The following is a 12648-nucleotide window of genomic DNA, read 5'->3' on the forward strand; positions in this document are numbered from 1 at the left end:
GTGTGTGTATGTCTGTGTGTGTATGTCTCTGTGTGTGTGTGTTTGTGTGTGTCTGTGTGTGTGTGCACACATGCATGCATATTCAGGGAGGGTTTTCTTTGGGCTTCTGGCTGCCATCATGAAACAAGATGGTGGTGTTATATTTCCCATGGGAAGATCTCTAGTTATTCATAGGGAGTTTCCTGCACTGGCAGTGGTGGAGCCTGCTCACCTCCTGAGCCTAATGCAGTACAGGAAAGCCCCCAAATTGGGGCTTAGTCTGGGATAGTTCATGGCTTCCTTCAGGAAAGAATTCGAGGGCAAGTCGCTGGTGTTAGACAGCAACTTTTTTTTTTTTTTTTTTGAGGTGGAGTCTCACTCTGTTGCCCAGGCTGGAGTGCAGTAGTGTGATCTCAGCTCACTGCAACCTTCACCTCCCAGGTTCAAGCAATTCTTCTGCCTCAGCCTCCCAAGTGGCTGGGACTACAGGCGTGCACCACCACGCCTGGCTAATTTTTGTATTTTTAGTAGAGACAGGGTTTCACCATGGCCAGGCTGGTCTCGAACTCCTGACCTCAGGTGATCCGCCAGCCTCAGCCTCCCAAAGTACTGGGATTACAGACATGAGCCACTGCACCTGGCCTAGACAACAACTTTTATTAAAGTGGCAGTGCACAGCCAGCAGCAGAGGTATTGCTCCTTGCAAAGCAGGGCTACCCTTAGGCGGTGAACCCAGAGCAGCAGCCTGGAGGCAATTCCGCAGTCATATTTATACCACCCACGTTTAATTATAGGCAAATTAAGGAGCAGTTTATGCAGAAATTTCTAGGAAAAGGGTGCTAACTTGTGGATCATTGGGTCATTGCCACGGAAAGGAGCGGTAACTTCTTTTTTTTTTTTTTTTTGAGATGGAGTCTTGCTCTGTCGCCCAGGCTGGAGTGCAGTGGCGCGAACTCGGCTCACTGCAAGCTCTGCCTCCTGGATTCACGCCATTGTCCTGCCTCAGCCTCCTGAGTAGCTGGGACTACAAGTGCCCGCCACCACGCCCAGCTAATCTTTTTGTATTTTTTTATTAGAGACAGGGTTTCACCGTGTTAGCCAAGATGGTCTCGATCTCCTGACCTCGTGATCCGCCCGCCTCGGCCTCCCAAAGTGCTGGGATTACAGGCGTGAGCCACCGCGCCCGGCCAGGAGCGGTAACTTCTGAGCGTTGCCACAGCAATGGTAAACTGACATAGCACACTGGTGGGCGTGTCTTATGGAAAGCTGCTTCCACCGAAGTCCTTTTTTAGCTAGTCCTCAATTTGGTGTGGTGTTTGAGCCCCGCCTCCGGAGTGGAGTCCCACTGTTAGGAATAACGCTCAAAATCTTAAGGAAATTGAACACTCGAACAAAGGATCCTTAGCAAAGCAATTTTGCTTTTGTGCAGAGGGGTGCCTCCTTGGCCAGTCGCCACGAGAGCGCACCTGAACAAAGGGGCACGAGAGCCTTTATTCCTGAGGCAAGTCCTGCCCCTGCACCCTTTTGCCATTGGCCGGGGTTGGGTCGTACAATCTAAACTAATCCCGGTTGACTAGACATTTGATTTTTTTTTTTTTTCTGGATAAGGTGGGCACGTAAAAGAAAGTGGACAGGAAGGGGAAGAGGTGTCTGTAATGATCTGGAAAGTTAGTCTTTTTTGGCCGGGCGCGGCGGCTCACTCTGTAATTCCAGCACTTTGGGAGGCCGAGGCGAGCGGATCACGAGGTCAGGAGATCGACACCATCCTGGCTAACACAGTGAAACCCCGTCTCTACTAAAAATAGAAAAAAATTAGCCGGGTGGGTGTGGTTGCAGGCGCCTGTAGTCCCAGCTACTCAGGAGGCTGAAGCAGGAGAATGGCGTGAACCCGGGAGGCGGAGCTTGCAGTGAGCCGAGATCGCGCCACTGCACTCCAGCCTGGGCGACAGCGAGACTCCATCTCAAAAAAAAAAAAAAAAAAAAGAAAAGAAAGTTAGTCTTCTTTCCAAATAAGGAAAGGAATGTGAGCTGGTACTGATAACGCCTGGTACTGTGGCCTGCCTGGACATCTAACAAAGGCAAAAAGGAAAAAAAGGAGAAAAAGGTGGGGGGGGGGGCGGGTACTATGGATAAAGGATAAAAGATTGATCAGATTATTTGACGAGAAACCTCATTATATCCCACACCACCTTGTACCTCAAGCCCAGATCCCTACTCTGGCGTCTGATTTCAGGATGGGCATCTCTAGCATGACAGGACTTCCCACATTCTGGACCCCCTGCTGCCTATAAGGTCCCCTTGCCACAGTGAACAAGCAGTGAAGTCAAGGAGTCGGACAGGAGCAGGTCAGGGACCTTAAGTGAGACTGGGAGACCTGGAGGATTTGGGGCAGGGGTGTGGCCTAATCAACCTAGGTCTTAATAGGCTGCTGTGCTGAAACTAGACGGTGAGCACAAGGGCAGAAACAACAGCAATCATTCAGGCAAGAGATGGTGATGACTCAGACCAGGTGAGAGCAGTAGAGGTGGAAAAAAATGAGTAGATTCTGGATAAATTGTGAAGGTTGGCTGGGCGTGGTGGCTCACGCCTGGAATCCCAGCACTTTGGGAGGCCAAGGCTGCCGGATCACCTGAGGTCAGGAGTTTGAGACCAGCCTGGCCAACATGATGAAACCCCATCTCTACTAAAAATACAAAAATTAGCCAGCCGTGGTGGTGGGCCTGTAATCCCAGCTACTCAGGAAGCTGAGGCAGGAGAATCACTTGAACCTGGGAGCCGGATGTTGCAGTGAGCTGAGATCGCGTCACTGCACTCCAGCATGGGTGACAGAGTGAGACTCCAGCTCAAAAAAGAAAAAACAAAAAAAAAGAAGATCTTTGAATCCTCCTATGGCCTGTGGGCTCCTGCTTTGAGATGTCTCACCTTTTTAGGTGAAACCAAGGTATAACTTCCATGTATTGATTGACAGCTTTGACTGTAACCTCCCTCTCCTTGCTTGGAGCCCCGCAATGAATGCCTTCACTTCTCCCACTGCAAACTGTGGTGTGGATGTTTAGCGTTACTGTGCTGGGTGAGAGGATCTCAATTTGGTTTGGTAACAAGACAAGCTCAGAGAAGGATGGTAGTGGGCAGTGGGTGGTGGTGATCACTGGATCTTCCACTTCCTCTTCCTATTTCCTGAAACGTCTCCCCATAGGCACCTGTGGACCCACTGGTCTTCCAGCTTTGTTCCCTCGCACCTCCTCATTCCAGCCTTCCCATCTCTGTTGATGGCAACTCCACTTTTCTGGTGTCTCAGGCCAAACCTCAGGGAGACCCTGGACCTCTCGACCTCTCGACCTCTCTCATGTTTTCTCAAACCTCACCTTCAATCTATTCACAAATCCTATTGGCAACCTTCACTTTTTTTTTTTTTTTTTTTTTGAGACAGAGTCTTGCTCTGTTGCCCAGGCTGAAGTGCAGTAGCGCAGTCTCGGCTCACTACAACCTCCACCTCCCGGGCTCAAGCAATTCTTGGGATTAAAAGGCATGTGCCACCACACCCGGCTAATTTTTGTATTTTTAGTAGAGACGGGGTTTTGCCATGTTGGCCAGGCTGGTCTTGAACTCCTGACCTCAGGTGATCTGCCCGCCTCAGCCTCCCACAGTGCTGGGATTACAGGCATGAGCTAACATGCCAGGCCAGGCATGGACTTTGAGGGTGGGTCGTGGAGGACCTGTCCTCCTGGCTACGGGCCCACTAGAAAGCCCTCCCTGAAGATGCGATAAAGCAGAGGCCCTATTAGGGGCCTGGTGGGCACCCTCCCCCTCCAAGCATGGAAATAAAGGAAAATCTTGAGTTCCTTCAAGGGAAAGTTCAGGCACCTAGCTAGTCCTGAGCAGTAAATGAGCAACTTGATAACCAAAAAGGTAATAGTAGCTTAAAGCAATAGCCAAGGAAATCACAAGATGTTTAGTTCCTGATGGGAACCAAAGATGTCCTTGAGTTTTTCAGAAACCTGGGCTCCTGCCAAATGGACCTGCTGCTGGCAGGTAGACCTCAGATAAGGGGGAACTGAGCACTGAACTCTGACAGTTCTTTGTTCTAAATTTCTTCCTGAGGGGCCTGGAGAAGGTCATACCCACAGACCAGAGCTAACATTCTTTTCTACTCTCCCCAATTTTCTTTTTTGTTGTTGTTGTTGAGATGGAGTCTCGCTCTGTCACCCAGGCTGGGGTGCAGTGGCGTGATCTCGGCTCACTGCAACCTCCACCTCTTGGGTTTGAGTGATTCTCCTGCCTCAGCCTCCTGAGTAGTTGGGATTATGGGTGCGTGCCACTACGCCCGGCTAATTTTTGTATTTTTAGTAGAGATGGGGTTTCGCTGCGTTGGCTAGGCTGGTCTTGAATTCCTGACCTCAAGTGATCTGCCCACCTCGGCCTCCCAAAGTGCTGGGATTATAGGCATGAGCCACCATGTCAGGCCCTGTCCACAATTTTTTAGACAAAGCCTTGCCTCCTTAACCAATCACAAATAGAAAATCTTTGAATCCTGCTGGGCAAGCTGGCTCACGCCTGTAATCCCAGCACTTTGGGAGGCTGAGGCAGGCAGAGCACCTGAGGTCAGGAGTTCGAGACCAGCCTGGCCAATGTGGCAAAACCCTGTCTCTACTAAAAACACAAAAATTAGCCGGGCGTGGTGGCACGTGCCTGTAATCCCAGCTACTCAGGAGGCTGAGGCAGGAGAATCACTTGAACCCGAGAGGCAGAGGTTGCAGTGAGCTGAGATCATGCCACTGCACTCCAGCCTGGGTGACAGAGCGAGACTCCGTCTAGAAAAAAAAAAAAAAATCCATGCCTGCCAGCACATTTCTCAAAGTAGAAAAAGGAAAAACCACCTTCGGGGAGGAGCTCAGAGCTGACTTCTCACTGCCAGCAGATGACACAGCCCTGGACTTGTCTCCTAAAAGGCACAATGACACCTGGCCCCACTGCCTTCTCCTTGACGGGGCCCTGACTGTGGCATGGCACCTCTCAGCCCTCAGCCTGCTCAGTCATTCTGCACAAAGTTTACTTCTCCCAGTAAAGCCAGAATTCCTCTCACTTCAGAAATAAAATGTATACATCTGCTGGTGGCCTCACATCCCTTCTCTGCGTTCTCAGCATGAGGCTCAGGCTTTTTATAATTCATCAAAAAGGCCACACGTAATGAGCTCAGTTCTTACTCTGCAACTGGGACGTCAGCTCACCTTTTAAGAACCCCGCACCCAGCCAAGGCCCCTTAGATCTTGTCCTAAAGCTGGGGATGAGTCACCTGTGAATCAGGCAGCAGGCTGAGCCAGCACTGCTCTCCAGGGGCCGCCTTCCCTTCCAAAGGACTAGCCTGTGTAAGGGGCCAGGCTGGGGGCTTCCCTACCTTCCTTCATTCGTTCATTGAACAAGAGTTTATTGGCCGGGTGTGGTGTCTCATGCCTGTAATCCCAGCACTTTGGGAGGCCGAGGCGGGCAGATCACCTGAGGTCAGGAGTTCAAGACCAGCCTGGCCAACATCACAAAAATATGTCTCTACTAAAAATACAAAAATAAGCCAGGTGTGGTGGTGGGCGGCTGTAATCCCAGCTAGTCAAGAGGCTGAGGCACAAGAATCGCTTGAACCCGGGAGGCAGAGATTGCAGTGAACCGAGATTGCACCACTGCACTCCTGCCTGTGCGACGGAATGAGGCTCCGTTAAAAAAAAAAAGAGTGCATTGAGTGCCTGCTGTATGGCAGGCCCTGGACTGGAACCTTTCCTAGATGCTCTTTTGCATAATCCCCCTCCTGACAATACTAGAAGGAAGGTGCTCACATGCCCATTTTGCAGATGTGGACACTGAGGTGCTGAGAGGTTTTAGTATCTTGTTTGAGGTCCCTTGACTTGTGTGTAGTAAAGAATTAACCTTATCCTAGGCCAGGTGCAGTGGCTTACGCCTGGAATCCCAGCATTTTGGGAGGCCAAGGTGGGAGGATTACTTGAGGCCAGGAGTTTGAGACCAGCCTAGGCAACATAGCAAGATATCATCACTACAAAAAAAATTTAAAAATCAGTCAGACATGGTGGTGGACCTGTAGTCCCAGCTACCCAGGAGGCTGAGGCAGGAGGATTGCTTGAGCCCAGGAGTTGGAGGCTGCAGTGAGCTCTGATCACACCACTGTACTCCAGCCTGGGTGACAGAGTGAGACTCCATCTCAAAAAATAAACAATTAATTTAAAAATAAAAATAAAAGATGGCCAGGCACGGTGGCTCACGCCTGTAATCCCAGCACTTTGGGAGGCCGAGGCAGGTGGATCACTTGAGGCCAGGAGTTCGAGACCAACCTGGTCAACAGGGTGAAACCCTGTCTGTACTAAAAATACAAAGATTAGCCGGGCGTGGTCACGGGTGCCTGTAATCCCAGCTACTCAGGAGACTGAGGTGGGAGGATTGCTTAAGCCTGGGAGGTGGAGGCTGCAGTGAGCCAAGATTGCACCACTGCACTCCAACCTGGGTGACAGAGCGAGACTCTGTGTCAAAAATTAATTAATTAATTAAAATAAAAAATAAAAATAAAAAAAGAATTAACTTTATCCAAAGAGTGGTATGGCTTTTACCACCAGCTCCCGGGAGGTGAGCTCTAAGCCCTTAGAACATCCTGTCTGGTAAGAATGTCTTCGTTTACCTGGGGGCCTGGGGCTATGCAATCTAACAACGTACATGACTTATGGTGGAGGCTTTGGGCTACACAGCATCAGCTTGACCTCCAGAGGGGATGGGGATTGTCAGCCACATCAGGCATCAGCCATGTCTATATGACCAAGCCCCAGTAAAAACTGGACACCAAGGCTCAGGTGAGCTGCCCTGGTTAGCAATACTCCATGCACGTCGTCACGCATCATTGTTGGGAATGCTAGCCATGACTCCAAAGGACGGGACAACTGGAAACTCCATGTGCTGAATCCTCCTGGACTCTGCCCCCTGCATCCTTTCCCTGCGCTGATTTTTTTTTTTTTTTTTTTTGAGACAGAGTCTCACTCTGTCGCCCAGGCTGGAGAGCAATGGCGTGATCTCGGCTCACTGCAAGCTCCACCTCCCGGGTTCATGCCTTTCTCCTGCCTCAGCCTCCCGAGTAGCTGGGACTACAGGTGCCCGCCACCATGCCCGGCTAATTTTGTTTTTTTGTATTTTTAGTAGAGACGGGGTTTCACCATGTTAGCCTGGATGGTCTCGATCTCCTGACCTGGTGATCCACCCGCCTCGGCCTCCCAGAATGCTGGGATCACAGGCGTGAGCCACCGTGCCTGGCCTATTTTTAAATTTATTTTATTTTATTTTATTTTTTGAGATGGAGACTCGCTTTGATGTCCAGGCTGGAGTGCAATCTTGGTGTAATCTCGGCTCACTGCAACCTCCGCCTCCCAGGTTCCAGAGATTCTCCTGCCTCAGCCTCCCGAGTAGCTGGGACTACAAGCATGTGCCACCACCATGCCTGGCTGTCTCTTCTAGCTTCTAGTGACTGCTGGCAAATCCTTGTGTTCTTTGGCTTGTTGACCCATTGCTCCAATCCCTGTCTGTCTTGTCATATGGCTTTGTTCTCTGTGCATGTCAGTGTTCTAAGCTCTTCTTCTAAGGACACCTGTCATTGGTCTTAGAGTCTTCCCTAAATCCAAGATAATTTCACCTTGAGATTCTTAACTAATTATACCTGCACAGACCGTTGTATAGTTTGGATGTTTGTCACCTCCAAATCTCATGTTGAAACATGATTCCCCATGTTGAAGGTGGGGCCTGGTGGGAGGTGTTTGGGTCGTGGGAGTGGGTTCCTCATGAATGGCTTGGTGCCCACCCTATGGTCATGAGTGAATTCTTGCTCTATTAATTACTGTGAGATCTGATTGGTAAAAAGAGCCTGGCACCTCCTCCTCACTCTCTTGTTCCCTCTCTCGCCATGTGACCTGGCTGCTCCCACTTTGCCTTCTGCCATGATTGGAGGCTTCCTGAGGTTCTTACAAGAAGCAGACACCAGTGCTGTGCTTGCACAACCCACAGAGCCGTGAGCCAAATAAACCTCTTTTCTTCATAAATGACCCAACCTCAAGTATTCCCATATAGCAAAACAAAATGGACTAATACAGGCCAGGCGTGGTGGCTCATGCCTGTAATCCCAGCACTTTGGGAGGCCGAGGTGGGTGGATCACGAGGTCAGGAGTTCAAGACCAGCCTGGCCAAGATGGTGAACTCCTGTCTCTACTAAAAATACAAAAAACTAGCCGGGTGTGGTGGGGGTGCCTGTAGTCCCAGCTACTTGGGAGGCTGAGGCAGGGAATCCCTTGAACCCAGGAGGCAGGGCTTGCAGTGAGCCGAGTTGGCGCCATCGCACTCCAGCCTGGGTGACAGAGCAAGATTCCATCTCAAAAAAAAAAAAAAAAAAAAAAAAAAAAGTAGGGGGAAGAATGGATTAATACAACCCTGTTTCCAAATAGTTACATTCTGAGATCTGGGTGGACATAAACTTTTGAGAAGGACATTATTTAATTCACTATATAGGTGATTCCCCAAATAAAATCTCTCTTGACTTCTGATTCCAAAGGACCTGAACTAACACAACCCAGTGGGCCAGGTTCCATCCTAGGCACTGGAGCTACAAAGGTGGAGCACCCAGTCATGGCCCCTGCCCCCACAGGACAGAAGACATGGGAGTCAGGCAGGTGCTAAGGGCCAGATCTGGGAGGGAGGGAAGGAGAGAGGGAGGGAGGGAGGTGTGCTCCCCTCCACACAGCTTCCCTGCCTCCCCGCGAGGGGCTCTGGTCCCACCGCTCTTTGGAGCCAGGCCCTGGCTTCAGGGTGTACGTGCTCAGGAGGCTGCCGTGTTGATGAAAATACCACGGAGACGTCTGCAGGGTTCTTCCTCTTGCTGCTTCTCCTGTGCCCGAAATAAATGAAAAAGAGATGTTCCTGGCAGGGTCTGCGGAGAAGCTTCGTGGCAGGAATGAAAATTGGCCGCAGCATCCAAGAAATCCTCGAACGGCAAAGGGATTTCTAGGACAACACACCTCTAGGAACAGAGGATGTCGGTGGTGAGAGCTGGAGGCGGAGGCAGGCCTGCCGCCCCAGGTGTCTGCGTGTCTGCGGTCGCACCGTGGTGTGCACACCTACACAGGTGTGCGTACCTGCTGGCCGTGTGCAAGCACGGGGGCGAGTTTGGGGAACCCAGCTGAAATCACAGCACAGACTTTCTCCCACCATTGGCCCATCTGCCAGCCTCTTCCTCACCCTCAAGCCTGCCGGCCATCTGGGGTCACCTTGTCCTGCCACATTTCAACAACACTGGGCTTGGTGCCCGTCGGCTCTCCGGGGATTCTCAGCAGGCTGACACGGCTCCAGGCCCATCTGGCACTCAGTTCTGGCTCTCGCTGAATTCTCCATCTGCCCTGCTACAGGGAGTGCCCTGTGCCAGCCGTCCTTCTCGGCCAGACGTCACATCCACAGAGCTTCAGGGACTCAACGCTGCCTGTAGGCGGCTTTTTCCGGGCTCCAGCACAGCCCTGGACACCTTTAAACTGAAACAAGGCCACCTGGCCCTGGACGTCCCTCAGCCAATCCTGCCTCTGAGAGCTGTCCCTGACCCCTTCTCCTACCCCCTCAGGACCTGGTCTTAACACTCCACTTTTCATCAGAATGGCCCATCAGGGGGTTGCTAACCCCCTCCCCCACTCCCCACCCCCATCTCTAACGTAATCTTCCCCATCAGCAAGGACTATGCCCCCTTCCAGCCCTGCTCCAGGTGGCCCTCAACTTCCTCCCCTAAGACACTGGATCCCTCCATCCTCCCAGAAACAACCCAGAGGGCCTGGCATAATGGCTCATGCCTATAATCCCAGTGCTTTGGGAGGCCAAGGCAGAAGGATCATTTGAGGCCAAGAGTTCAAGACCAGCCTGGGCAACATAGTGAGACCCTCCCCCACCCATCTCTACAAAAAAGAAAAATAAATGTACCCAGACATCGTTGCATGCACCTGTAGTCCTAGCTACTTGGGAGGCTAAGGCAGGAGGATCCCTTGAGGCTGGGAGGTCAAGGCTGCAGTGAGGTACTGTCTCTAAAAAAATAAAAACGCACAACCTGGAGAGACCTGCTGGCATTTGCCTGTGTGCAAGCCCTGATCTTGAGCCGCAGTGGTGGAAATCCAGGAATCGATGAGCTGGGCATGCTGATCTGAAACTTCTGGTTTTACGGAGGGGAAACTGAGGTCAGAAAGACAATCAGCTTGCCTAAGCCATGTGGTGATCCTGGGGAACAGGAGCTCAGGTCTCCTGAGGTCTTCATTCCAGCCCATGAGTACAGTCCCTCTCAGGCACAAAGCACAGGGGCCCTTAACACCCCAGAATGCTCCGCAGACAGCTCTCTGTTACAGCTGGCGTTACAGACAGGGCCTGTTACCTCCCCTGCCTCCCTCTCCTCCTCTCCAGGTGTACCAGACCTTCGTGAGCAGACCTTAGCACCTTTTTTCTTTTAGAGACAGGGTCTTACTCTGTAGCCCAGGCTGCAGTGCACTGGTGCGATCATAGCTCACTACAGCCTGGAACTCCTGGACTCAAGTGATCCTCCCGCCTCAGCCTCCTTAGTAGGTGGGACTACAGGTGCATGCCACTATGCCCGGCTTTTTTTTTTTTTTTTTTAGACGGAGTCTCACTCTGTTGCCAGGCTGGAGTGCAGTGGCACGACGCTTTCGGCAACCTCTGCCTCCTGCGTTCAAGCGGTTCTCCTGCCTCAGCCTCCTGAGTAGCTGGGACTACAGGCATGCGCCACCATGCCCAGCTAATTTTTGTATTTTTAGTAGAGACCGGGTTTCACCATGTTGGCCAGGATGGTCTCTATCTCTTGACCTCGTGATCCACCCACCTCGGCCTCCCAAAGTGCTGGGACTACAGGTGTGAGCCACCGAGCCCGTCCTCGGCTTATTTTTAAACTTTTTGTAGACATGGGGTCTGACTATGTTGCCCAGTCTGGTCTCAAATTCCTTGCTTGAAGCGATCCTCCTATCTCAGCCTCCGAAAGTGCTGGGATGACAGGCATAAGCCACCATGCATGGCCAGACCCTAGCACCTTTCTGTCTGTCCTCTTCACTCCAGCCCTCTAAGTACCTGATATCCCCATCTTCTCCCCACTGAGGGAGGACATCTTTGCTAAAACTGGTACAGACCATTACAGGCTGAATGTTTGTGTCCAGACATTCAGTAAGTTGAATTCATATGTTGAAGCCTGACCCCTAGTGTGGCTGTATTCGGAGATGAGATCTATAAGGAGGTAATTCAGGTAAATGAGGTCATGAGTGTGGGGTCCTGATCTGATAGGATTGGTGTCCTTATAAAAGGAAGAGGATGCCAGTGCGCCTCTGCACACAGGCACCAAGGAAAGTCGTGTGAGGACATAGCGAGAAGCGGCCCTTGAGCTTGGGAAGTTGAGGCTGCAGTAAGCTATGATTGTGCCTCTGCACTCCAGCCTGGGTGACAGAGCAAGACCCTGTCTCCTAAAAGAAGGGAGAAAGGGGAGGGGAGGAGAGGGAAGGGGAGGGGAGGTGGAAGTGGGGAAGGGAAAGAAAAATCAACCCTAGAAGGGCTGGGCTCAGTGGCTCATGCCTGTAATCCCAGCTCTTTTTCGGGGGCCAAGGTGGATGGATCACTTGAGGTCAGGAGTTCAAGACCAGCCTGGCCAACACGGCAAAACCCCATTTCTACTAAAAATACAAAAAGGCTGGCGTGGTGGCACGTGCCTGTAATCCCAGCTACTCGGGAGGCTAAGGCAGGAGAATCACTTGAACCCAGGAGGCAGAGGTTGCAGTGAGCCAAGATGGTGCCACTGAACTCCAGCCTGGGCAACAAGAGCAAGACTCTGTCTCAAAAAAAAAAAAAAAAGAAATCAGTCTTAGCAGAACCTTGATCTTGGATGTCCAGCCTCCAGAACTGTGAGAAGATAAGTGTCTGCCTTTTTTTTTTTTTTTTTTTGATATGGAGTCTATTTCTATCACCCAGGCTGGAGTGCAGTGGTGCAATCGCAGCTCACTGCAACCTCCGCCTCCCAGGTTCAAGCAATTCTCCTGCCTCAGCCTCCCGCGTAGCTGGGATTGCAGGCGCCCACCACCACACCCAGCTGATTTTTGTGTTTTTAGTAGAGATGAGCTTTCACTGTGTTGGCCAGGCTGGTCTCAAACTTCTGAACTTGTGATCCACCCGCCTTGGCCTCCCAAAATGCCGGGGATTACAAGCGTGAGCCACCACACCCGGCCAAGTGTTTGCTTTTTAAGCTGCCCAGTCTATGGTATTTTGTTACGGCAGTTCCTGCACACTAAGACAAGGATTGAAACATTTACAGATTCAATGATATCAAGTCTGGGAGATGCTGCAAAACTCACAGGTGGGGAAGTGTGCAGGGTTAGCAAGAAACAGGATTGACCACAAGCTGAAAATTGGCAGGGCAAGTTGGCTCACCCCTGTAATCCCAACACTTTGGGAGGCTGAGTCGGGCGGATCACTTGCGGTCAGGAGTGTGAGACTAGCCTAGCCAACATGGTGAAACCCCATCTCTACTAAAAATACAAAAATCAGCCGAGCATGGTGGTGCACACCTGTAATCCCAGCTACTTGGGAGGGTGAGGCAGGAGAATCGCTTGAACCCGG

General features: G+C 51.3%; 1 annotated feature.

Annotated features, from left to right (window-relative positions):
• Positions 8579-9154: an enhancer, noted in NCBI's record as "H3K27ac-H3K4me1 hESC enhancer chr7:98423765-98424340 (GRCh37/hg19 assembly coordinates)". NCBI's record gives its function as "activates a minimal SCP1, AML or CMV promoter by ChIP-STARR-seq in naive H9 embryonic stem cells {active_cell/tissue: H9 hESC(naive)}" and the evidence as "EXISTENCE:reporter gene assay evidence [ECO:0000049][PMID:30033119]".

Source organism: Homo sapiens, chromosome 7 (assembly GCF_000001405.40).
Source record: "Homo sapiens chromosome 7, GRCh38.p14 Primary Assembly".
Lineage (NCBI taxonomy): Eukaryota > Metazoa > Chordata > Mammalia > Primates > Hominidae > Homo > Homo sapiens.